The 25,801-nt window shown below is 47.7% G+C and overlaps 1 protein-coding gene across 3 annotated transcripts in view, besides 9 other annotated features; it reads right to left on the reverse strand.

The window, feature by feature from the left end:
- USP4 (ubiquitin specific peptidase 4) overlaps window positions 1–15,263 on the reverse strand; it is a 62,910-nt gene extending 47,647 nt beyond the window's left edge. For all 3 annotated transcript variants that reach the window (NM_199443.3, NM_003363.4, NM_001251877.2), the window contains exons 1-5: window positions 15,134–15,263; window positions 10,679–10,806; window positions 2,896–3,026; window positions 929–1,055; window positions 104–249 (exon numbers count right to left, since the gene is read on the reverse strand). In NM_199443.3, coding sequence (NP_955475.1) covers window positions 104–249; window positions 929–1,055; window positions 2,896–3,026; window positions 10,679–10,806; window positions 15,134–15,234 — 633 coding nt within the window. In that variant the 5' untranslated portion in view covers window positions 15,235–15,263. The remainder of the gene's footprint in view (window positions 1–103; window positions 250–928; window positions 1,056–2,895; window positions 3,027–10,678; window positions 10,807–15,133) is intronic.
- Window positions 15,204–15,393: a silencer, noted in NCBI's record as "silent region_14361". NCBI's record gives its function as "represses an Ori minimal core promoter by ATAC-STARR-seq in GM12878 lymphoblastoid cells {active_cell/tissue: GM12878}" and the evidence as "EXISTENCE:reporter gene assay evidence [ECO:0000049][PMID:35858748]".
- Window positions 15,434–15,933: an enhancer, noted in NCBI's record as "H3K27ac-H3K4me1 hESC enhancer chr3:49377657-49378156 (GRCh37/hg19 assembly coordinates)". NCBI's record gives its function as "activates a minimal SCP1, AML or CMV promoter by ChIP-STARR-seq in naive H9 embryonic stem cells {active_cell/tissue: H9 hESC(naive)}" and the evidence as "EXISTENCE:reporter gene assay evidence [ECO:0000049][PMID:30033119]".
- Window positions 15,564–15,733: an enhancer, noted in NCBI's record as "active region_19861". NCBI's record gives its function as "activates an Ori minimal core promoter by ATAC-STARR-seq in GM12878 lymphoblastoid cells {active_cell/tissue: GM12878}" and the evidence as "EXISTENCE:reporter gene assay evidence [ECO:0000049][PMID:35858748]".
- Window positions 15,824–15,883: an enhancer, noted in NCBI's record as "active region_19862". NCBI's record gives its function as "activates an Ori minimal core promoter by ATAC-STARR-seq in GM12878 lymphoblastoid cells {active_cell/tissue: GM12878}" and the evidence as "EXISTENCE:reporter gene assay evidence [ECO:0000049][PMID:35858748]".
- Window positions 20,625–20,744: an enhancer, noted in NCBI's record as "active region_19863". NCBI's record gives its function as "activates an Ori minimal core promoter by ATAC-STARR-seq in GM12878 lymphoblastoid cells {active_cell/tissue: GM12878}" and the evidence as "EXISTENCE:reporter gene assay evidence [ECO:0000049][PMID:35858748]".
- Window positions 20,835–20,924: an enhancer, noted in NCBI's record as "active region_19864". NCBI's record gives its function as "activates an Ori minimal core promoter by ATAC-STARR-seq in GM12878 lymphoblastoid cells {active_cell/tissue: GM12878}" and the evidence as "EXISTENCE:reporter gene assay evidence [ECO:0000049][PMID:35858748]".
- Window positions 24,126–24,420: a silencer, noted in NCBI's record as "tiled region #2568; K562 Repressive non-DNase unmatched - State 6:EnhF". NCBI's record gives its function as "represses a minimal TATA promoter and a strong SV40 promoter by Sharpr-MPRA in K562 cells {active_cell/tissue: K562}" and the evidence as "EXISTENCE:reporter gene assay evidence [ECO:0000049][PMID:27701403]".
- Window positions 25,012–25,156: an enhancer, noted in NCBI's record as "145 bp enhancer 295 fragment used in the MPRA reporter construct; PK_construct_4569". NCBI's record gives its function as "activates an SV40 promoter by MPRA in K562 cells {active_cell/tissue: K562}" and the evidence as "EXISTENCE:reporter gene assay evidence [ECO:0000049][PMID:23512712]".
- Window positions 25,076–25,093: a transcriptional cis regulatory region, noted in NCBI's record as "GATA motif; enhancer activity is reduced when this motif is scrambled". NCBI's record gives its function as "necessary for full MPRA enhancer 295 activity {active_cell/tissue: K562}" and the evidence as "EXISTENCE:site-directed mutagenesis evidence [ECO:0005528][PMID:23512712]".

Here is a 25,801-nt window from a genome sequence, read left to right on the forward strand (position 1 = left end):
AGAGTTCAAACCACCGCACTTCCAACATGCTTAGAAGCAAAAAGTATCTGGCCACACACCCTGGGCAGAGCTACCTGCTGGGGAATGGCCAGGGCCCTCCTACCTGACCCTGGTATAGCCCAGCATCCTGGACAGTGTTGTCTAGCTTGCTCAACTGCTCGTAGGTGTTGCTCATGTATTTGTTCCAGAGCCGTGTTTCACGCTCCGCAGGGATGTTGAATAGCTTCCGCATCTCTTTCTCGATGGTTGCTAGGAACAGGCAGAAATATCACTTGGGGCTTTGTCCACATGCAAGGCTAAAGACAGCCATGGCAAACTAATGCTCATCCTCTTTCTTGTCAGATGCTCACAGGTGCTCTGGATCAACCCCCTGATACCTCTTAAAATCAATCATCTCCCATGGGTGGCCTCTTGCACTCATATGCCTGGAAAGTATCCCTATGCTTCTTTGCTAACGTGTGTCTCTCATTTATGGCGCAAAAGCAACATAGAAAGCGAGAAAGCTTATCTTTGGAGTTAACTCAGATATGGCTTCAAAAGCTAGCTCCACCATTTTCTGGCTGCGATTTGTTTTTTTTTTTAAGAGACAGGATCTTGCTCTGATGCCCAGGCTGCAGTGCAGTGGTGGGATCGTAGCTCACTGTAAACCTTGCTGAGATTTTTAAATAAGTTATTTTTAAACTTCTTTGGATCTACATTTCCTTATCTTCATTATCATAGACAAATGGGCAAGGAGCAGGCCCAGTGTTCTCTCCATAAGAATTCCTGGAGGAATAGGCCCCCAGGTCAGGACTGGCAACTACAGCTCGAGATGATTTGGGTAACAAATCTAAAGAGGGCATATAAAATAATGCCCTCTTCCCTCCCATCAGCCACAATGTCCTACACTCTCTCACCACATACCAGGGACCCCAGCCCAGCCTCTCACCAATGGTGTCTGCCTTGCTGAAATGGCAACTCAGCACATTGGTGGGGTCACTGTTCTCACAGAGCTTCAGTTCCAGCAAATACACCTCGACTTTGCAGTGCTTGACAAACAGGCCATGCTCCACAACCTATGAACAAGAGGCAGGGGTGAGGGCATAGCGGTTTTGCAGCTGGGCAGTCTTGGATGTAGCATATCTTATCAGAAGCAAAAAGCAGAAAACTCATGATAATCCATTTCCTTTACTGATCAAGGGATCAAAAGAACAGATTTTTAAAGCTACCAGTACCTGGACAAAGAGTTTAAAAATATTTTTTCTGGCCGCGTGTGGTGGCTCACGCTTGTAATCTCAACACTCTGGGAGGCCGAGGTGGGTGGATCACTTGAGGTCAGGAATTTGAGACCAGCCTGACCAACATGGTGAAACCCCATTTCTATGAAAAATACAAAAATTAGCCGGGCATGGTGGCATGTGCCTGTAATCCCAACTACTCAGGAGGCTGAGACAGGGGAATCGCTTGAACCCAGGAGGTGGAGGCTGCAGTGAGCCAAGATCGCTCCACTGCACTCCAGCCTGGGCGACAGAGCGAGACTCTGTACCCCGCAAAAAAATATATATATATTTTTTTTCTACCCACTAAGACCAAGAGCATCTTGATGATATTAGAGAGAAGCCTATTCTTCACTGTTTTTTGTTTTTGAGATGGAGTCTTCCTCCGTCAGCAGCCTGGAGTGCAGTGGTGCGATCTCAGCTCATTACAACCTGCACCTCCTGGGTTCAAGAGATTCTCCTGCCTCAGCCTCCCGAGTAGCTGGGACTACAGGGGCCCACCATCATGCCCAGCTAATTTTTGTATTTTTAGTAGAGACAGGATTTCACCATGTTGGCCAGGATGGTCTCGATCTCTTAACCTCGTGATCCGCCTGCCTCAGCCTCCCAAAGTGCTGGGATTACAGGCGTGAGCCACCATGCACGGCCTGATCAAAGACTCTTTTTTTTTTTTTGCAACCGAGTCTCACTCTGTTGCCAGGCTGCAGTACAGTGGGGTGATCTCGGCTTACTGCAACCTCCGTCTCCTGGGTTCAAGCAATTCTCCTGCCTCAGCCTCCCGAGTAGCTGGGACTACAGGTATGTGCCACCACACCCAGTTAATTTTTGGATTTTTAGCAGAGACGAGGTTTCACCATGTTGGCCAGGGTGGTCTTGATCTCCTGACCTCGTGATCCACCCGCCTCAACCTCCCAAAGTGCTGGGATTACAGATGTGAGCCACTGCGCCTAGCTCAAAGACTCTTAAGCATAGAGGGAAAAGCAGTATCATAAAGGTTTTTTAAGATAAACAAGATGCAGGACATTAGCTATATGTCCATATGCCCCCAGTGAACTTTCTCTCATAGAATTTTCCAGAAAGTTCTCTCACAGCGCTGCTGGGCACATTCCAAGCCACTGGGCAGCTCTGATGTTTAGAGGCCACTCATGATAATATTCTGGGTGAGCAACTTCACTCACAACCACAATTTCCTAAAGAGAACCAGAAACAGGCTGGGCGTAGTGGCTCACGCCTGTAATCCCACCACTTTGGGGGGCCGAGTCGGGCGGATCACAAGGTCAAGAGTTTGAGACCAGACTGGCCAACATGGCGAAACCCCGTCTCTACTAAAAATACAAAAATTGGCCAGGCGTAGTGAAAGGCGCCTGTAATCCCAGCTACTCAGGAGGCTGAGGCACGAGAATCACTTGAACCTGGGAGCCAGAGGCTGCAGTGAGCCGAGATCGTGCCGTTGCACTCCAGCCTGGGCGACAAGTGCACAAGACTCCATCTCAAAAAAAAAAGAGATCCAGAAACAAGGCCTCAAGCACCACTATTCAACCACTGAGGTATGTTCATTTTCCTAGCAAACACTAGTCAGTGTCCAACAGAAAGCACCTGCAGACAGTGACCAGCAGGTGGGACAATTCACATAACTCACTTTTCTGACGATGGGTTGCTGGCCTTCTACACAGCCGTACCAGTTTAGTAGTTTATTCCACGCCTCGGTAGGGACCAATACATAGTCCAATTCATCAATTAAGTGTTCTTTCAAGGTCTGACTCTCAGGATCTAAAAAAGGAAAAGAGCACATAAGTCACTGCTCTTTACCCCAGAAATGATGGTTTTACATGATTTCCATGTACTTTTCAGAAATAAGAAAATTATTTACAGAAAGAAACAGGAATGAAATTCCAAAATTCTGTCACTGGTCATTATACAGAGCAGACTTTTGTCTTTATCCATGTTTTCTCTTTATCCATGAAGATTTTATGAGGAATTTGTATTTCTTCTATAATTGGAGGGAGAGAAGAGGATAAAAAAGAAAAACTCCAGGCTGGGTGTGGTGGCTCACACCTGTAATCAGCACTTTCGGAGGCTGAGGCGGTTGGATCATGAGGTCAGGAGTTTGAGAGCAGCCTGGCCAACATGGTGAAACCCCGTCTCTACTAAAAATATAAAAATTAGCCGGGTGTGGTAGCGGGCACCTGTAGTCCCAGCTACTCGGGAGGCTGAGGCAGGAGAATTGCTTGAACCCGGGAGGCAGAGGTTGCAGTAAGCCAAGATCACGCCACTGCACTCCAGCCTGGTGAAAGAGCAAGACTCCATCTCAAAAATAAATAAATCATACATGAGGTGGTTATGGTTTCCCACCATCCCTCCGACTAGTTTACACACCTTTTTCAGGGCAGGGTTCCTTTGTTGTCATTTCAACAATGCTCATAACATCTTCACCAGACATAGATTCCATCTCAAGAAACCATTTTCTTTGCTCACCCATAAGAAGCAACTCCTCAGCCATTCAAGTTTTATCATAAGATTAAAGCAATTCAGGCCGGGCATGTTGGCTCATGCCTGTAATTCCAGCACTTTGGGAGGCTGAGGCAGGCAGATCACTTGAGGTCAGGAATTCAAGATCAGCCTGGCCAACATGGTGAAACCCCATTTCTAGTAAAAATACAAAAATTAGCTGGGCATGGTGATGCATGCCTGTAGTCCCAGCTACTCGGGAGGCTGAGGCATAAGAATTGCTTGAACCCAGGAGGTGGAGACTGCAGTGAGCCGAGATACCCCACTGTACTCCAGCCTGGGTGACAGAGCAAGACTCTGTCTCAAAAGAAATAAAAATAAATAAAAATTAAAATTAAAAATAGGCCAGGCGCAGTGGCTCACACCTGTAATCCCAGCACTTTCGGAGGCCGAGGTGGGCAGATCATGAGGTCAGGAGTTCAAGACCAGCCTGGCCAGGGTAGTGAAACCCCGTCTCTACTACAAACACAAAAATTAGCTGGGCATGGTGGTGCACACCTGTAGCCCAGCTACTTGGGAGGCTGAGGCAGGAGAATTGTTTGAACCCAGGAGGCGGAGGTTGCAGTGAGCCAAGATTGCGCCACTGCACTCCAGCCTGGGTGACACAGCGAAACTCCATCTCAAAAAAAATAAAAATAAAAGTAAAAATAAAAAATAAAGCAATTCAGTCACATCTTCAGGCTTCACTTCTAATTCTAGTTCTCTTGCTATTTCCACTTTTGCTGTTACTTCTCCCACTGATGTCTTGAGCCCGTTGAAGTCATCCGTAAGTGTTGGAATGAACTTCTTCCAGACTCCTATTAATGTTGATTTTGACCTCCCATGAATCATGAATATTTTTGTGTGTGTGTGTGGGCAGGTGGGAGTGGCAGGCCTTACTCTATCACCCAGGCTGAAGTGCAGTGGCATGATTACAGCTCACTGCAGCTTCGACCTCCCAGACTCAAGCAATCCTCCTGCCTTAGTCTCCCAAGTAGCTAGAACTACAGGTGCATGCCACCAGGCCTAGCTAATTTTCGTATTTTTTATAGGGATGGGGTTTTGCCAAGTTGCCCACCCTAGTCTCCAATTCCTGGGTTCAAAGGATCCACCTACTTCAGCCTGCCAAAGTCCTGGGATTATAGGTATAAGCCACTGCACCAGGTGGAATCATGAATATTCTTAATGGCATCTAGAATGGTAAATCCTTTCCAAAAGGTTTTCAATTTAATTTGCCCAGATCCTTCAGGAGAATCACTATCTATGGCAGATAAAGTCTTATAAAATGTATTTCTTAAATAATAAGACTTGAAAGTTGAAATCAAATCAGGCACGCTGGCTCAGGCCTGTAATCCCAGCACTTCGGCAGGCTGAGGCGGGAGGATCACTTGAGGTCAGAAGTTTGAGACCAGCCTGGCCAACATGGTGAAACCTGGTCTCTACTAAAAATACAAAAATTAGCCAGGTGGAGGGACGGGCACCTGTATCCCAGCTACTCAGGAGGCTGAGGCAGGAGAATTACTTGAACCTGGTAGGAGGAGGCAGGAGAATTGCTTGAACCTGGGAGGGAGAGGTTGCAGGGAGCCAAGACTGAGCCACTGCACTCCAGCCTGGGCAACAGAGTGAGACTCTGTCTCAAAACAAACAAACAAACAAACAAACAAACAAAAAAAGTTGAAATTACTTCTTGACTCACAGGCTGCAGAACGGATGTTTTTAGTAGGCATGAAACAACATTAATCTCCTCATGCATCTCCATCAGAGCTCTTGGGTAACTAGGTACATTGCAATGGAGCAGTAACTTTTTTTTTTTTGAGACAGTCTCGCTGTGTCCCCCAGGCTGGAGTGCAGTGGCGCCATCTCGGCTCACTGCAAGCTCCACCTCTCGGGTTCATGCTATTCTCCCGCCTCAGCCTCCCGAGGAGCTGGGACTACAGGCACCCGCCACCACACCCGGTTAATTTTGTTTTTGTATTTTTAATAGAGACAGGGTTTCACCATGTTAGCCAGGATGGTCTCAATCTCCTGACCTCGTGATCCGCCCACCTTGGCCTCCCAAAGTGCTGGGATAACAGGCGTAAGCCACTGCACCTGGCAGCAGTAACATTTTGATAAGATTAGCTCAGTGCTTTTTCTGAGCAGTAGGTCTCAACCCTGAGCTAAAAATATTGGGAGGCTGGAGGCTGGAGGCCGGAGGCCGGGCGCGGTGGCTCCCACCTGTAATCCCAGCACTTTGAGAGGCCGAGATGGGTGGATCACGAGATCAGGAGATTGAGACCATCCTGGCCAACATGGTGAAACCCCGTCTCTACTAAAAATACAAAAAAAGTAGCCGGGTGTGGTGGCAGGCACCAGGCGCCTGTGATCCCAGCTACTCAGGAGGCTGAGGCAGGAGAATCGTGTGAACCCGGGAGGCGGAGCTTGCAGTGAGCCGAGATCGCGCCACTGCACTCCAGTCTGGGTGACAGAGCAAGACTCCGTCTCAAAAAAAAAAAAAATATTGGGAGGCCGGGCGTGGTGGCTCACACCTGTACTCCCAGCACTTGGGGAGGCCGTGGTGGGCAGTTACCTGAGGTCGAGAGTTCGAGACCAGCCTGACCAACAAGGAGAAACCCCGTCTCTACTAAAAAAACAAAATTAGCTGGGCGTGGTGGCGCACGCCTATAATCCCAGCTACTCAGGAGGCTGAGGCAGGAGAATCGCTTGAACCTGGGAGGCAGAGGTTGTGGTGAGCCAAGATCGCACCATTGCACTCCAGCCTGGGCAAAAGAGCAAAACTCCGACTCAAAAAAAAAAAAATCGGTAAACTTGTTGTGGTGGCTCATGCCTGTAATCCCAGCACTTAGGGAGGTCAAGGCGGGTGGATCACTTGAGGCCAGGAGTTTGAGACCAGCCTGGCCAAAATAGCAAAACCCCATCTCTACTAAAAGTACAAAAATTAGCCAGAACTGGTGGTGCATGTCTGTAATCTCAGCTACTTGGGAGGCTGAGCCATGAGAATAACTTGAACCCGGGAAGCAGAGGTTGCAGTAAGCCGAGATTGCACCACTGCATTCCAGCCTGGGCGACACAGCGAGATTCTGTCCCAGAAAAATAAAATAAAAACAAAAATATTCGGTATACCATGCTGTAAATAAATATGCTATCATGCAGGCTTTGTTGTTGCATGTGTAGGGCACAGGCAGAGCAGATTTAGCATAATTCTTGAGGGCCTTGGGATTTTTGGAATGATAAATGAGCACTAGCTTCAAACTAAAGTCACCATCTGCAGTATCCCTTAAGAAGAGAGTCAGCCTGTCCTTCAAGGCTCTGAATCTGGCCGGACAGAGTGGCTCATGCCTATAATCCCAGCACTTTGAGAAGTCAAGGCAGACAGATCACTTGAGCCCAGGAGTTGGAGACCAGCCCGGGCAACACGGCAAAATCCCATCTCTACAAAAAAAAAAAAAAAATACAAAGCTGGGCACAGTGGCTCACACCTGTAATTCCAGCACTTTGGGAGGTCAAGGCGGGTGGACCACCTGAGGTCAGGAGTTCGAGACCAGGCTGGCCAACGTGCTGAAATCCCGTCTTTACTAAAAATACAAAAAAAAATTAGCTGGGTGTGGTGGCAGGTACCTGTAATCCCAGCTACTTGGGAGGCTGAGGCAGGAGAATCACTTGAAACTGGGAGGTGGAGGTTGCAGTGAGCCAAGATTGTGCCATTGCACTTCAGCCTAGACGACAGAGCGAGACTCTGTCTTACAAAACAAACAAACAAACAAACATATAAAAATCAGCCAGGCATGGTGGCAAGCAACTGTAGTCCTAGCTACTCAGGAGGCTGAGGTGGGAGGATCACTTGAGCCCAGGAGGTTAAGGCTGCAGTGAGCTGTGATCACACACTACAGCCTGGGTGACAGGGCAAGACCCTGTCTCAAAAAAAAAAAAGGCTCTGAACCCAGGCACTGACTTTTCCCCTCTAGCAGCAAAGAGGTAGATGGCATCTTCCCAATAGAAGGGTGTTTTGTCTACATTTAAAATCTGTTGTTTAGGCCAGGCACAGTAGCTCATGCTTGTAATCCCAGCACTTTGAGAGGCCGAGGCAGGCGGATCACTTAAGGTCAGGAGTTTGAGACCAGCCTGGCCAACATGGTGAAACCCCATGGTGAGACTCTGTCTCAAAAAAATAATAATAATAAATAAAAATAAAATAAAATAAAACCTGTTGTTTAGCCTGGGCACAGTGACTCACACCTGTAATCCCAGCACTCTGGGACGTCAAGGCGGGAGGATTGCTTGAGCCCAGGAATTCAAGATCAACCTGAACAACATGACAAAACCCACAAAAAATCTCTGCAAAAAATACAATAATTAGTCGAGTGTGGTGGGGCCTGTAGTTCCAGTTACTCAGGAGGCTGAGATGGGAGGATCACCTGAGCCTGGGAAGGTCAAGGTTGTAGTGAGGTGTGATTGTGCTACTGCACGAGGTAGCAGTAGCTACCTTTTTTTTTTTTGAGACAAGATGGCACCTTGTCTCAAAAAAAAAAATAAATGAATAAACTTTCTCCATATCAGCAATAATAAGGCTGTTTCAGCCTCTTATAATTCATGTGTTCACTAGAGTAGCACTTTTTTTTTTTTTTTTTGAGATGGAGTCTCACTTCTGTCGCCCAAGCTGGAGTGGAGTGCAGTGGCGCAATCTCAGCTCACTGAAACCACCATTTCCTGGGTTCCTCCATCTCCCAGGCAACATGACAAAACTCCATCTCTACAAAAAGAAAAAATAAACACATACAAAAATGAGCCAGGAATGCTGGCAAGCACCTGTAGTCCTAGCTACTCAGGAGGCTGAGGTGGAAGGATCACTTAAGTCCAGGAGGTTTACATTTACATTCACAACTTGGCTAGCTATATGGCACAAGAGGCCTAGCTTACAACCTATTTCGGCTTCCTTAACCAAACTCAAATCATTTCTAGCTTTGATTTGAAGTGAGAGACATGCAATTCTCCTTTTCACTTGAACATTTAGAAGACGTTGTTAGGGTTACTAAGTGGCCGAATTTCAGTGTCATTGTGTCTCAGGCAATAGCAAAGCCTGAGGAGAGAGAGAGAGATGGAATGGCTGGTTGGTGAAGCAGCGAGAATACACACAATAATTACCAATTAAGTTCACTGTCTTACATGGGCTCCCTTCATGATGCCCCAAAACAATTACAATAGCAACATGAAAGATCCCTGTTGGCTGGGCATGGTGGCTCATGCCTGTAATCCCAGCACTTTGGGAGGCTGAGGTCGGGAGTTCAAGACCAGCCTGACCAACATGGAGAAACCCCATCTCTACTAAAAATACAAAATTAGCCGGGCGTGGTGGCACATGCCTGTAATCCTAGCTACTCGGGAGGCTGAGGCAGGAGAATCACTTGAACCCAAGAGGTGGAGGTTGCCATGAGCCACGATCATGCCACTGCACTCCTGCCTGGGCAACAAGAGCAAAACTCCGTCTCAAAAAAAAAAAGAAAGCTCCCTGATCACTGATCACCATAACAAATAATAATGAAAAACTTTGAAGTATTTTGAGAATTACCAAAATGTGGTAACAGAGACATGAAGTGAGCACATGCTGTTGTAAAAATGGAACTGACAGATTGTCAAGGCAGCGTTGCCAAATACCTACAAAATTTGCTAAAAATGCAGTATCTGCAACATATAATAAAGCAAAGCACAATAAGCCAAAGTATGCCTGAATTTAAAACCTTAAGAATTCTCCATTTCATAAAAATGAGAAAAAGAACAAAATGTGAACATAATGAAATGATTCCTTAGGGCAACTTCGTGGCATAGTGCCACCATTTGACCTATTTCAGGAAACAAAGTAAATGATATTGTTTATACCATGTAGACCTCTCCTAAAACAAGGTCTGAGCTGAAGCATTGCTCAGTTTTAAAAATATCCAAGTTAGGCCAGGCACAGTGGCTCACACCAACACTCTGGGAAGCCAAGGTGGGAGGATGGCTTGAGGCCAGGAGTTCAACCAGCCTGGGCAACATAGCAAGACCCCGTCTCTACCAAAAAACTTAAAAAACAGCTGAGAGTGGTAGAACACTGTAGTCTCAGTGACTAAGGAGGCTGAGGCAGGAAGATAGCTTGAGCCCAGGAGCTCAAGGCCAGCCTAGCCAACATGGTAGAGACGGGGTTTCACCATGTTGGCCAGGCTGGTCTCGAACTCCTGACCTCAGGTGATCCACCTGCCTTGGCCTCCCAAAGTGCTGAGATTACAGGCGTGAGACACCACTCCTGGCACTGCCCTGATTTTTGACACCCATGACAGATCACCTCTATCATGACTTTAAAGAGGTCTGAAGTCAGGCAAAAGAAAGCCTGGGAAAAGCTGACTCTGTCATCTCAGTGCATGTACAAGTGCAAGCAAGCTCTAGTGTGTTACATGTCGCTTTTCCCACAGTTCCCATTGGGAGCTGACTACAGTCATAACTCTGTCTACTGACCTTCAACCTCTCCTCACACTAGTTATATGATAAAAACAGCCATCACAGGAATTCTTGATGAAAGTTCACAGGTTTACAATTTGTTCCACTGCAAAGGTAACAAAAAATTCTGGTTCTTAAATTTTAGATACAATTTCAAAATGACATCCTATTTCTTTCCATTCCATATACTAACTTAAAATGTGAAATAGCTAGCAGAACTAATTTGCAAAGAGAGAAAGTTAAAATGTTAGAAGCATACTCTTATCAGATGCAGTTAATTTAAGGGAAAAAAGTAGCTTAACTTCTCATTAAGGGTTTGCAAAGACTTCTGCTATAGATGCAAAATGAGGATACTTGTTTCTATCTCCTCACACTAGGAAAGTTCACAACGTCCATGTTACAGATGCACATAACATCAGGCCACTGCCCAGGTGAATGTTTAGCTAGAAAAGCAACATTTACTATACCTGAAAATAGCCCAGAGTTGTCTATTGGGCCAGGAAATAGGTTATGTTCACCCACATTGTACATGTCCCAGCTGTCAAAGCCCACATACTTCTTCCACTGCTTGAACCACCGGCTGTCAATAAGATACCTAGAGAGAGACAGAAATTTACTGTAGCAGAAAAGCTGAGATTATAAATTTCTGCAGCTGCTTCCTTAATCTTTTTTATGGTCCTTCCACTTGGGGCATATGCAATACCCACTAAAAAACACTGTCACAAGAGCAAGAGCAGGGCCCAGGCCCCACATGGCACAGAGAGTCTGGCCCAGGGTATGCATCCATTAAGTGAAATGATTGTTCAAAGAGTGAATAAAAGAAAGAAAACAAGTGGTTTCAAAATGCTTATTTAAATGCAGTCTTTCTTTTTTTTTCTTTTAGACGGAGTCTTGTTCTGTCGCCCAGGCTGGAGTATAGTGACACAATCTTGGCTCACTGCAACCTCTGCCTCCCAGGTTCAAGCGATTCTCCTGCCTCAGCCTCCTGACTAACTGGGATTACAGGCACCTGTCACCACTCCCAGCTAATTTTTGTATTTTTAGTAGAGACGGGGTTTCACCATGTTGGGCAGGCTGGTCTCAAACTCCTGACCTCAGGTGATCCGCCTACTTCGGCCTCCCAAAGTGCTGGGATTACAGGCATGAGCCACTGCACCTGGCCTCTTTTTTTTTTTTTTTTTTTTTTGAGACGGAGTTTTCGCTCTTGTTGCCCAAGCTGGAGTGCAGTGGTATGATCTTGGCTCACTACAACCTCCACCTCCTGGGTTCAAGCAATTCTCCTGCCTCAGCCTCCCAAGTAGCTGGGATTACAGGCATGCATCACCAGGCCCAGCTAATTTTTTTGTATTTTTAGTAGAGATGGAGTTTCACCATGTTGGCCAGGCTGGTCTCGAACTCCTGATCTCAGGTGATCCTCCTGCCTTGGCCTCCCAAAGTGCTGTGATTACATGCATGAGCTACCACACTCAGTCTAAATGGAGTCTTTTCATGGGTAAAATCATGTTTGCTAATAAACAAGTCATTAACTTCTTTTTTTTTTGAGACAGAGTTTCGCTCTTGTTACCCAGGCTGGAGTGCAATGGTGTGATCTCGGCTCTCCGCAACCTCCGCCTCCCGGGTTCAAGTGATTCTCCTGCCTCAGTCTCCCGTAGCTGGGATTACAGGTGTGTGCCACCACACCTGGCTAATTTTGTATTTTTAGTAGAGACAGGGTTTCTCCATGTTGGTCAGGACAGTCTCAAACTCCCTACCTCAGGTAATCTGCCCACCTCGGCCTCCCAAAGTGCTGTGATTACAGGCGTGAGCCACCGCACCCGGCCACAAGTCATTAATTTCATAATGATCTTTACAGAAGTCCCACTCCAGGCAGACAGTTTGGTTACACTGTTTTGCTTGACATGAACAGCACTAAACTAATGCTCTTTCTGAAAATGGGTTAGAAACACCACCCACTTCAGTTTTCCTTTAAGGACCAAAGGAGTTCCAAAAATGTACACACAAGGCCAGGCGCAGTGGCTCACACCTGTAATCCCAGCACTTTGAGAGGCCGAGGTGGATGGTCACTTGAGCTCAGGAGTTCAAGACCAGCCTGGGCAACAAACCCCATCTCTACTAAAATTACAAAAATTAGCTGAGCGTGGTGGCACATGCCTGTAGTCCCAGCTGCTCGGGAGGCTGAGGCACAAGAATCACTTGCACCCGGAAGACAGAAGTTGCAGTGAGCTGAGATCATGCCATTGCACTCTAGCCTGGGTGACAGGAATAAAACCCTGTCAAAAAAAAAAAAGTACATAACATGCGTGTACATATATAAATATACACATACACATGTACATATAATAGTGCCTATTGTTCATCTTGTCAAAAAGCATTAATTTGTGCTTCATATTCAACTTACCACTTTTTTACTTAAATGTAAGCAAATGTGGTATTTTATTTACCTATTTATTTCCTTAGAGAGAGGGTCACCCAGGCTAGAGTGCAGTGGCACAATCATAGCTCTCTGTAGCCTCAAACTCCTGGGCTCAAGTGATCCTCCTGCCTCAGCCTCTGAGTAGCTGTGACTATAGGCACATACCACCATGCCTGGCTAATTTATTTTTTTATTTTTATTTTGTAGAGGCTAGCTCTTGCTATGTTGCCCAGGCTGGTCTTGAACTCCTGGCCTCAAGTGATCCTCCTGCCTCAGCTTCCCAAAGTGCTGGGATTACAGGCATGAGCCACTGCACCAGACCTGTTTATATTTTTAAAGTATCACTGTGCTGGCCGGGAGCGGTGGCTCACGCCTGTAATCCCAGCACTTTGGGAGGCTGAGTCAGGTGGATCACGAGGTCAGGAGATCGAGACCATCCTGGCCAACATGGTGAAACCCTGTCTCTACTAAAAATACAAACATTAGCGGGGCATGGTGGTGCATGCCTATAATCCCAGCTACTCGGGAGGCTGAAGCAGGAGAATCGCTTGAACCCGGGAGGCAGAGATTGCAGTGAGCCGAGATCGCGCCACTGCACTCCAGCCTGGTGATGCAGCGAGACTTCGTCTCAAAAAAAAAAAAAAAAAAAAAAAAAAAAAGTATCTCTATGCTGTTTTACAATTAAAACAATCTCTGTGGAGCAACAAAGCATCAACAATTATATTGGTGCATCCTTAAAATTTTATAACCAACAAATGTGAGAGGAGGTCAGGCAGCTTCCCAGAGGTCACAAGGATCCATAAACACATCCATCTCTAAAATGCTATTTTTCTTCCAAATCCCTTGAGCAATACCTTCCATACAATTTTACTGTATGATTTTAGTCTATCTTAAACTTCCTCTACTTCTGCTGAGTATTCTTTATGAACCCTATAGAGGTTAACTTAAAAAGTACCTCTGCTAGGCCGGGCGCAGTAGCTTCCGCCTGTAATCCCAGCACTTTGGGAGGCCACAGCGGGCGATCACCTGAGATCTGGAATTCGAGACCAGCCTGACCAAAATGGAGAAACCCCGTCTCTACTAAAAATACAAAAAAAATTAGCCGGCCGTGGTGGCGCATGCCTGTAATCCTAGCTACTGGGGAGGCTGAGGCAGGAGAATCGCTTGAACATGGGAGGGGGAGGTTGCCGTGACCCGAGATCGCGCCATTGCCCTCCAGCATGGGCAACAAGAGCGAAATTCCTTCTCAAAAAAAAAAAAAAAAAGAAAAGAAAAGAAAAGAAAACACAAAAAAAGTACCTCTGTTTACCCTGCCTTTCACAAACTGGTTAGCTCAAGGTGAATACATAAGCTGTTATCTGTACTCCTCCTAACCCCAATTTTTCTATTCTCCTGCTCAATTCCTCGGCAGATCATCACCACAATGATTTCTTAAAGATAGGTAACACTCGGGCCGAGCACGGTGGCTCCCACCTGTAATCCCAGCACTTTGGGAGGCCGAGGCGGGTGGATCATAAGGTCAAGAGTTTGAGACCAGCCTACCCAACATGGTGAAACCCGGTCTCTACTAAAAATACAAAAAATTAGCTGGGTGTGGTGGCGTGAGCCTGTAATCCCAGCTACTCGGGAGGCTGAGGCAGGAGAATCGCTTGAACCCGGGAGGCGGAGGTTGCCGTGAGCCAAGATCACGCCACTGCACTCCAGCTTGGGCAACAAGAGTGAAACTCCATCTCAAAACAAAACAAAACAAACAAGATGGGTAACAATCATACTCGATGCAAAGTCTAGCCTTAGTTTTTCTACTCCTACACAATTACACCACCCAGGAATCTCTCCAGTAGTACAAAGTATTGTCCCCTCTACTAAACAATCTATTAAGATGCCTAATAACTCAGCCTGGGTCTTCTAAATTCTGGACCCTTCATCTTCTATCTAGCTCCAGGACCTAGGCTATCCTCCTCTCCCACTCCAAGACACTGCTGCCGCAAATATTTTTGACACTTGCTACCAAAATAATCGGGGTTCTCAGACATTTGTTCAGCTTCTGACCTTGACATCTGTTGGCAGTTTACAAGTTACAAAGTATCTACTTCTGATTTTCCCCTCAACCCACTGAGGTCGGTGAGCCAAATATTGCTATCCTGGTTTTAACAGTGAGGAATCCAGGTCTGTGACACCTTCGCCCAAGGTCACACGGCGAGTCCTCATGGTAAAGGGCTCTCCCCACCCTTAGGGTCCCCACCAACCTTCCCCTTCTCCACATCCCTCCTCCTGGCCCCCGCCGGGCCCGCCCCCTAGGGCTCCAAATGAACTGAGACGACACTCAGGCCCCGCCTGCGCTTTCCCAGAGCTGATCCTGGAGTTATTCTCCTGAGGGGCAGGTGTCAGGCTACTCTTCCAGGGTCACTACATACCATCCCCGCCCAGCCCCTACTCTAGCCGAGAAAAAGGAGGCCCCTTTTTCTCGGCCCCTGGTTCTGCATAGAGGAAGAGCGAGCCGGGAGCTCACCACTGCGCCCCGCGTTGGAGTGTGGTCCTCATTAAGGGTCCAAGCTCGGACTTCTGAGTCTCCGCATCCGGTCGCTCACGGCAGCCTCCACCTTCCGCCATCTCCTCCGCGGCCCCGGCCCAGCCGGCCCGGACATCCGCCCCGCGCGCGGCGTGCTATAGACCGCGCCCACGCACGCACGCTCGCGTGCCCGCCCCTGCCCCACCTCGAGCCGCGGCCTTCGGCTCCTGCAGCCGCTGTCTTTTCTCCCCTCCGCTCTCGCGCCACCTAGCTCACCGGCGAACAGTGGAGCGGAAAGGCACACGCGAGAGGGGTGGGCGGGGAGCAGCAGCTGCTACTTCCTCCCGCCCTGCCGCCCGCTACGCGGCCTTCGGGCGCCCCTTCCTCTGCTCAGGATGGCGCTACACTTCGAAGCTCTGTTCAGCCCGCCGATCTCAGGGAGTTAGGCAGCAAGCCCACGACCCATCGGGCACCCCAGCCTGGCCTTCGAGGTTATCGTGGTCCTAAATAAATGCAGGCCAGGTGCGAGAAGCCCGGTAGTTAGGTCTGCTCATTCTCACCCCTGCAATTCCGCTTTCAGCTGGAGGCCTTAGGCGAGTCAGCTGCCCAAACGTGGGATCGGGGCTCCTGCTCCAGCGGCCCTACAGGGATTTCGGGAAGTACCATGTGCACCAGCGCCTTGGGACCAAGACTCAATGGTGTGTTGTAGTCATTAACAGTCGCCTTAAACAGTCGACGCCAGAGCCACCTGGCCCACCGCAGAATTCCGTCAGCTCTTCATACTGAGCTACTTGCCAAGCAGCCACAGAGGGGCGATAGCAACAGGGGAAGGAGAGGTACTCCACATTAGTTACCCAGGCGTGTACTTAGTTCCTGGAACAAGATACAACGTCCTGAACACTATGTTTTCCAGTCGCCCCGCTCACACACACAACCCTCCTCTTGGAGGGAGAAGTAAACCCAGAGGAAAGAGGAAGTCAGGCAGTTGGTCTAGATGCGTCTCCATACACTTGTCTAACAGTCCTTGTCCTCAGAGAAAAATAAGACCTAGTTCCTGCCCTCATAGAATCTAGTAGAAAAGAAGAGATGTTACAGAAATAACCTCAATGCCTAGCAGTATGTGGTAAGTGCCATTAAAGTGTGTGAACCAGGCCGGGCGCGGTGGTTCAAGCCTGTCGTCCCAGCACTTTGGGAGGCTGAGGCGGAAGGATAGGTTCAGCCCAGGAGTTAGAGACCAACCTCGGCAACATAGCGAAATCCCGTCTCTACAAAAAAATACAAAAAATAGCCGGGCAGTGGCTCGCGTCTGTGGTCCCAGGTACTTGGGAGGCTGAGGTAGGAAGATCCCTTGAGCCCAGGAGGTCGAGGTTGCAGTGAGTCGAGATGGCGCCACTGCACTTGAGACTGGACGGCAAAGTGAGACCCTGTCTCAAAAAAAAAAAAATAAATACAAATAAAGGGTGTGAACCGGCCGGGCGCGGTGGCTCACACCTGTAATCCCAGCACTTTGGGAGGCCGAGGCAGGAGGATCACCTGAGGTCGGGCATTCGAGACCAGCCTGACCAACGTGGAGACCGAAATGTCTTAAAAAAAAAAAAAAAAAAAGACCGGGCGTCCGGCGCGGTGGTTCATGTTTGTAATCCTAGGACTTTGGGAGGCCGAGGCGGGCAGATCACGAGGTTAGGAGTTCGAGACCAGCGTGGCTAATATGGTGAAACCCCTTCTCTACTAAAAATACAAAAAAAAAAAAAAAAATTAGCCGTTAGTGGTGGCCCACACCTAGTCTCAGCTACTCGGGAGGCTAAGGCAGAAGAATCGCTTGAACCTGGGAGGCAGAGGTTGCAGTGAGCCGAGATTGCGCCACTGCACTCCAGCCTGGGCAACAGAGCAAGACCCCCTCTAAAAAAAAAAGGGGGTGTGAACCAAAGGCTGTAGAACGCCAGGCACAACCCCTGCTCTCATAGGAAGCCTTTGACTTGAGTAACATTTGAGTGTGGTATTGAAAAAAAATGCTGGCAGAATAAAGATGAGGATGCATGTTACAGGAGGGGAGACTCAAGGGACCAGAAGATAATTTCTGGAAAAGGCAGGACAGGATCAGAGAGTGGGGATTAGGCCAGTTGAGGCGGGCACTACAACGCTACAACAGCCTAAGGGGATCTAAAGCTAGAAAGGAGGCCAGACAGACCATATATCCTGCCTTAAAAGGCAGGCAGGCATTATAGGAAGTTTTGAAGCAGAGACAAAATGGCTGAGGGTGCTTCACGCCCACGGTGGTGTAACTCAGACACAGAACCATTAGGAACCTCTCACTATGGAGGTGGCTGTGAGGGAGAAGAGGAGAAACAGAGAAGCCATGTCTATTTTATTTTATTATTCTTATTTTTCTACCTATTCCTGTTGAAAAGATGAGCTATGTTTTGTGTCGGGGGTGAAGGAAGGGGAACTGGCCCAGTGAAAATACGGTAGGTCATTTGAACAGATTTACTATTTTTATGTTGGGTTTGGCCAATTGAAATTAATTTGCACTCCCTGGGTCATCCATCACACACCATCTGATAAGAAAGGCCTCTTGGCAATTGGGTAGATAGTAGGAGAAAGTAAATATGGAATTAAAACTGCCTTAAATAACCACATAGTAATTAATCCCCTGTAGATAAGAGTTACCACCACCACATGATGATTCTACATCTGCAGAGCCAACCCTAACAAGTCCCCTTCTATGAAAGTTCTTTGAAACTCGTTTTTGTTTTGTTTTGTTTTGTTGTTTTTTCTGAGATGGAGTCTTGCTGGGTCCCCCAGGCTGGAGTGCAGTGGGGCAATCTCAGCTCACTGCAACCTCTGCCTCCCTGGATCAAGCGATTCTCCTGCCTCAGCCTCCTGAGTAGCTAGAATTACAGGTGTGCGCCACCACGCCTGGCTAATTTTTGTATTTTTAGTAGAGATGGGGTTTCACCATGTTGGGCAGGCTGGTCTCAAACTCCTGACCTCATGATCCACTGGCCTCAGCCTCCCAAAGTGCTGGGATTAAAGGTGTGAGGCACCGTGCCCGGCTGAAACTCTTAAAAATGTTATCAAAAAAGAAACACTACCTTTAGTCCTGTTATTTATGGAAAAAGAAAGTTGAGGCCAGGCGTGGTGGCTCACGCCTGTAATCCCAGCACTTTGGCTTTGGAAAGCCAAGGCAGGCGGATCGCCTGAGGTCAGGAGTTCGAGACCAGCCTGGCCAATGTGGTGAAACCCTGTCTCTACTAAAAATGCAAAAATTAATTGGGCATGGTGGCGAGCACCTGTAATCCCAGCTACTCAGGAGGCTAAGGTAGGAGAATCACTTGAAACTGGGAGATGGAGGTAGCAGTGAGTCAAGATCGCACTACTGCACTCCAGGCTGGGTGACAGAGAGAGACTCTGTCTCAAAAAAAAAAAAAAGTTGGTTACTGACATCGGTTCAGAATCTACATTTCAGGGTGTCTGCTTCCCTCTTCTTTTTTTAGCAGTTTCACCAAACCATTTATGGCAGTCTTAAGGAAGACAAGTAGGACAAGTCCTCAGCACCACTAGAAAAGGGGACAAAACCTAATTATAAAAATGAAAAATTTGGACAATATTTTTAAGTCAGGAATTTAGTGCTTTTAATAGCTATAAAAATAGCGCACTAATTATTGGTAGCCCTTAAAAATTAATATTAGGATTGCAAAATATTCTTCTTGATATCTGGGTATTTGGAGGGAAAAAAAGAAAAATAAATAAATAAAAGATTACAAAATGCTGGTAGTTGAAATGTGAAGAATAAAGTGAATTCCATAGTTGGAAGATCACCTTTTTTTTTTTTTTTTTTTTTTTTGAGACAGAGTCTTTGTTGCCCAGGCTAAAGTGCAGTGGTATAATCATGGCTCACTTGCAGCCTCGACCTATTGGGCTCAAGTGATCCTCCTACCTCAGCCTCCCAAATAGCTGGGACTACTGGTCTGCATCACCATGCCTAGCTAACCAGACTACTGGTCTGCATCACCATACCTAGCTAATTTTCATATTTTTAGTATAGATGGAGTTTCACCATGTTGCCCAGGCTGGTCTTGAACTCCTGGCCTCAAGTGATCCTCCGCCTCCCAAGTGCTGGGATTGCAGTCATGCGCCACCGTGCCCGGACTACAAGGTCACCATTATTTACAAAGTCTTTAAACTTTGTTAGCCAGTTTGTTTGATTTAAATGGTGGGGGTGGCCGGGCGCAGTGGCTCATGCCTGTAATCCCAGCACTTTAGGAGGCCAAGGCAGTCGGATCAGGAGGTCAGGAGTTCGAGACCAGCCTGACCAACATGGCGAAACCCCATCTCTACTAAAAATACAAAAATTATCTGGGCGTGGTGGCATGGGCCTGTAATCCCAGCTACTCAGAAGGCTGAGGCAGGAAAATCGCTGGAACCTGGGAGGCAGAGGTTGTGGTGAGCCAGGATCGTGCCATTGCATGCCAGCCTGGGCAACAAGAGCAAAACTCCGTCTCAATAAATAAATAAATAAATAAATAAATAAATAAATAAATGGTGGGGTTTTTTGTTTTGTTTTGTTTTTGAGACAGGGTCTCATTCTGTCATCCCCGCTGCAGTGCAGTGGCACAATCTTGGCTCACTGCAACTTCTGCCCTGTTCCCCAGGGCTCAAGCACTCTGTCCACCTCTGCCTCCCAAAGTGTTGAGATTACACGTGTGAGCCACCACGCTGAGCCGTTTTTTGTTTTGTTTTGTTTTTTGAGACAGAATCTCATTCTGTAGTCACAACTACTTAGGAGGCAAAAAAACCAGGGCCAGGCACGGCTCACTCCTGCAATCCCAGCACTTTGGTAGGCTGAGGTGGGCAGGTCACTTGAGGTCAGGAATTTGAGACCAGCCTGGCCAACCTAGTGAAACCCAGTCTCTACTAAAAACATAGAAATTAGCTGGGCATGGTGGTGCTCGCCTGTAATCCCAGCTACTTGGGAGGCTGAGGCAGGAGAATCACTTGAACCCAGGAGGCGGAGGTTGCCGTGAGCCAAGATCACGCCACTGCACTCTAGTCTGGGCAACAAGAGTGAAACTTCATCTCAAAAAAAGGAAAAAAAAATTTAAAAATTTAAAATAAAACAATTAGCCTGGCATGGTGACGTGCACCTGTAATCCCAGCTATTAAGTAGGCCAAGGTGGGAGGATCTTTTTAGCCCAGGAGTTTGAAGTTGCAGAGAGCTGTGATCCTATGATCGTGCCACTGCACTCCAGCCTGGGTGACAGAGCAAGATCCTGTCTCAAAAATAAAACAAAAAAGAGAACTGGAAACAATGAACATCTGCCTGCGTGTTCCTGTTGTGGTAGTGACCTAGGGACTTGGGAGGAAATGACAAGGGTGACTGATTCAGCTCAGAGACATCTTGGCACCAGAGCTGTGTTCTATGTTGAGCCACTTTATCCTAGAGAGAACCATAGGCCCGGTAGGACACCAAGATCCCAGAAGTGGACAATCCATCCATTACCAGAGGACCTTGGGCCACAAGAACAGAAGAGAAACCAGGAAGGGAGCTAGAAGAAAACCTGGCTTATTGGTCACATACTAGTTGATCTTGGACTGTGATGTCTAATTAAAGATTCATAATGTTGGCCGGGCGCGGTGGCTTACGCTTGTAATCCCAGCACTTTGGAAGGCCGAGAAGGGCGGATCACGAGGTCAGGAGATCGAGATCATCCTGGCTAACACAGTGAAACCCCGTCTCTACTAAAAATACAAAAAATTAGCCGGGCGTGGTGGTGGGTGCCTGTAGTCCCAGCTACTCAGGAGGCTGAGGCAGGAGAATGGCATGAACCCGGGAGGCGGAGCTGGCACTGAGCCAAGATTGCGCCACTGCACTCCAGCCTGGGTGACAGAGCGAGACCCTATCTCAAAAAAAAAAAAAAAAAAAAAGATTCATAATGTCAGGCCGGGCACGGTGGCTCACACCTGTAATCCCAGTACTTTGGGAGGCCGAGGCAGGTGGTTCACCTGAGGTCAGGAGTTTGAGACCAGCTTGACCAACATGGTGAAACCCCATCTCTATTGAAAATACAGAATTATCTGGGCATGGTAGTGCATTCCTGTAGCCCCACCTACTTGGGAGGCTGAGGCAAGAGAATAGTTTGAACCCAGGAGGCGGAGGTTGCAGTGAGCCAAGATTGCACCACTGCACTCCAGCCTGGGCAACAAGAGCGAAACTCCGTCTCAAAAAAAAAGATTAATAATGTCTGGGTGTGTGAACTTTATGCTTTTTTTTTTTTTTTTTTTTTGAAACAAGGTCTTAGTCTGTCACCCAGCCTGGAATGCAGTGGCGCAATCTCCGCTCACTGCCACCTCCGCCTCCTGGGTTCAAGGGATTCTCCTGCCTCAGCCTCCCTAGTAGCTGGGATTACAGGCACCGGCCACCACGCCCAGGTGATTTTTGTATTTTTAGTAGAAACGGGGTTTCACCATGTTGGCCAGGCTGTTCCTGAACTCCTGACCTCAGGTGATCCACCCGCCTCGGCCTCCCAAAGTGCTTGGATTACAGGCTTGAACTACCACGCCTGGCCTTTAAGCTTTATTTTATTCCAAATCATAAGGTTTTTGTCTTAGCTGCTACCACAGTTTTCTTTACACCTGATAGGACTTGGCTCTCCCAAGTTATTCTTGGTCCACACTTGGCCAGCACTAACAGAGCACACGTGGCAGTATTCACAAATATTAGACATATTTTAATTGGAGGTGGCAACAGGGGAGAAATATTTTTGGTTCCTTCTCACCTGTGCCTCCTTAACCTGCCCAGGGGACTGTGAAAAGAAAAAGATTCTAGAAGCACACTTTAGAAGAATTAAATGTCTTCTCAGTGATTTCTAACCTCTGTTATATAAGGATTAGGTTCTTGCAGAAGATAATAGAGGCAAAAAACTGAACAAGTCTCACAGAGAGGAAGTGGGATCACTTTTTTTATATGGAGGAGTTGTGCCAATGGACAGATTCCATTCTGGTTATGCCACTTGTGTTGATGGCCAGCCCTCTTCGGGCAGAGGGTGTGGCAGCCTGGGCCCAGGTGCCGCCAGTGTCTTGTCTTCCTCCTGTAATTCTATTACCATCACAGTCTTAACCATGAACCAGTATTTAACGTTAATTTGCGTGTATCCTTTGCCCTTTCCACAGTGCGAATTCTCAGTAGGCATTTCTTGCATAAATGAAAGAAAGAATGATCCGGCTATTAGTCATTTCTTCACTGGACTAATAGTACTTGAGTATTATGTGCTCATGGTCCCTACCCTCCAGGGTTCACAGTGTGGTTAGGGATGAAGGATGGTTACATATGTAATACAGTATTGTATGTTGTGTGGTAAAAGTGTCACAGGGGCCGGGTGCAGTGGCTCACGCCTGGAATCCCAGCACTTTGGGAGGCTGAGGTGGGCAGATCACGAGGTTAGGAGATCAAGACCGTCCTGGCTAACACCGTGAAACCCTATCTCTACTAAAAATACAAAAAAATTAGCCCGGTGTGGTGGTGGACACCTGTAGTCCCAGCTACTTGGGAGGCTGAGGCAGGAGAATGGTGTGAACCCGGGAGGCAGAGCTTGCAGTGAGCCGAGATCGAGCCACTGCACTCCAGCCTGGGCAACAGAGCAAAACTCTGCCTCAAAAAAAAAAAAGTGTCACAAGAACATGAAGGGTCATGCTTGCAGATACTTCCCTGGGAAGGAAACTTAAGCAACTAGTGTAGAAAGCAAAGGCATACTTAATATTCCTTTTGGCCTTTGGGGGTATATGATGACATCCACAAAGGATGCTCAGGAGACCAGGACTTTATTTTTTATTTTTATTTATTTTTTTAAGACAGAGTCTCACTCTGTCACCCAGGCTGGAGCACAGTGGCGCAATCTTGGCTCACTGTAAGCTCCGCCTCCCGGGTTCATGCCATTCTCCTGCCTCAGCCTCCTGAGTAGCTGGGACTACAGGCACCTGACACCACGCCCAGCTAATTTTTTTTTTTTTTTTGTATTTTTAGTAGAGATAGGGTTTCACTGTGTTAGCCAGGTTGGCCTTGAACTCCTGACCTCATGATCTGCCCGCCTCGGCCTCCCAAAGTGCTGGGATTACAGGCGTGAGCCACCCCACACAGCCGACTTTATTTTTTTATTTATTTATTTTTTTTGAGACAGAGTCTCGCTCTGTTGCCCAGGCTGGAGTGCAGTGGCGCCATCTCTGCTCACTGCAAGCTCCGCCTCGCAGGCTCCTGCCATTCTCCTGCCTCAGCCTCCCGAGGAGCTGGGACTACAGGCTCCCGCCACCACGCCCGGCTCATTTTTTGTATTTTGTTTAGTAGAGATGGGGTTTCACCATGTTAGCCAAGATGGTCTCGATCTCCTGACCTGGTGATCTGCCGGCCTCAGCCTCTCAAAGTGCTGGGATTACAGGCGTGAGCCACCATGCCCGGCCTATTTTTTTTATTACTTTTTTTTGTGTGTGTTTGACAGAGTCTCACTTTGTCACGCAGGTTGTAGTGCAGTGGCACAATCTCGGCTCGCTGCAACCTCCACTTCCTGGGTTCAAGCAATTCTCATGCCTCGGCCTCCCCAGTAGCTGGGGACTACAGGCGTGCGCCACCACACACAGCTAATTTTTTTTTGTATTTTTTGTAGAGATGTGGTTTCGCCAGGCCAGGCGTGGTGGCTCACGCCTGTAACCCTATAACTTTGGGAGGATGAGGCGGGTGGATCACCTGAAGTCAGGAGTTCAAGACCAGCCTGGCCAACATAGTGAAATTCCATCTCTACTAAAAACACAAAAAATTAGCCAGGCATGGTGGCAGACGCCTGTAATCCCAGCTACTCAGGAGCCTGAGTCAGGAGAATCACTTGAACCTGGGAGGTGGAGGTTGCAGTGAGACGAGATCACACCACTGCACTCCAGCCTGTGCAACAAGAGCAAAACTCCAAAAAAAAAAAAGAAAAAGAAAAGAAAAAGATATGTGGTTTTGCCATGTTGGATGTTGGCCAGACTGGTCTTGAACTTCTTACCTCAGGTGATCCACCTGCCTCGGCCTCCCAAAGTGCTGGGATTATAGGCGTGAGCCACTGTACCTGGCATGAGACCTGGACTTTAGATTCACTCACATGTACATGCACACACACACAGTCATGTGCTGGGGACAAAGGTGACTGGGGTATTCTGCTGCAGGGAGATTTAGATTCCCTTCACTTGCTTCCCTATGAAGCCAGGTGGTCTTCAGAACTGTAGGACACCACTGAGGGTAAGCTACATGTGTTCCTGAATGCTGCTAGAGCTCTAGGAATTTGGATCAAGTGGGCTTGCTTTGTGGTCTCCTCTACTGGTCTTGAGGGCCACAATTACACTGGACCTGTGAGGGGCACTAAAAGTGGGTCTCCCAGGAGCCTCTGCGTCTCTTCACAGCCAAGATCAGGTCACCTGCCCTTACATTTACAACAGGTAAGGCTGGCTAGGAAAATATTCTGCCAGCCAGTTAGGGCCAACAAGTTGCCTAGCACCCCTGCCCAGTACACCACTGTCATGTCATGTCAGTCTCAATGCTTCTAGATGCAACTAACAGAATCCCCAGCAGCAATTGGCCCACCTATTTGGTGGTTCTTGTTTTTTCACATGACACGTCTGGAGTTGAGTTCTTGGGAAGGTCAAAGCTGAAAGACATCAGTTTGTTTATCTGGGGCCTTCTAGTTCTTTGCCTTCAAAGCTCCAACGTGGCTGCCTTGCTCCCAGAATTTTGGGTACCCTCAACAACACCCACCAGTGAGAAGGGAGAGAGGAAACAAGATCCTGTTTCCTGGGATCATGGGGGCTTTCCCAGGAGCCTCTGCATCTCTTCATAGCCAAGATTAGGTCACCTGCCCCTATCTTTACAGCAGGAAAGTAGATTCTGCCAGCCAGCCAGGAGGAAGGACTTGGGAATGGCTGTTGAGTAGAGATAAGCAATGTCTCTGTACACAGCCTCTCTGAGAGGCAGTGAGAATTACACCATTTCAGGGCCAAGGCCTATGAGACCTCATTTCTTGGACAAGGACTTCTGACATTTGTCCCCCTCAGCTCCCAATCAGTCAGTGTCTGATGTGAGGCAGATACCCATTAATCTCTGTGGCTGGCTGGAGCTGGGCTTTATTTCAGTGCCCGCCCAGGTGTGTCACACCTGTATGTGAATGCATACTCTTCCCGCTTACTTCGTGAGTGCAGTAACAAAAACATGTCAATTCAGAGTACTCTGATAGGGATCATGGCCTGCTCTTTATAAACCCATGCTGTGTTTTCTTGGGAAAAAAATTTTTTTTTTTTTTTGAGACAGGGTCTGTCTCTGTTGCCCAGGCTGGAGGGCAGTGGCACAATCTCAGCTCACTGCAACCTCCGCCTCCTGGGTTCAAGCGAGTCACCCACCTCAGCCTCCCAAGTAGCTGGGACTACAGGCACACGCCACCATGTGCGACTAATTTTGTTTCTGTTTTTGAGATGGAGTCTCACTCTGTCACCTAGACTGGAGTGCAGTGGCACAATCTTGGCTTCTGCAACCTCGATCTCCCAGGTTCAAGCAATTCTCCTACCTCAGCCTCCCAAGTAGCTGGGATTACAGGAGGGCACCACTATGCCCAGCTAATTTTTGTATTCTTAGTAGAGATAGGGTTTGACCAT

The sequence above is a fragment of the Homo sapiens genome, chromosome 3 (genome assembly GCF_000001405.40).
Source record: "Homo sapiens chromosome 3, GRCh38.p14 Primary Assembly".
Taxonomy (NCBI): Eukaryota; Metazoa; Chordata; class Mammalia; order Primates; family Hominidae; genus Homo; species Homo sapiens.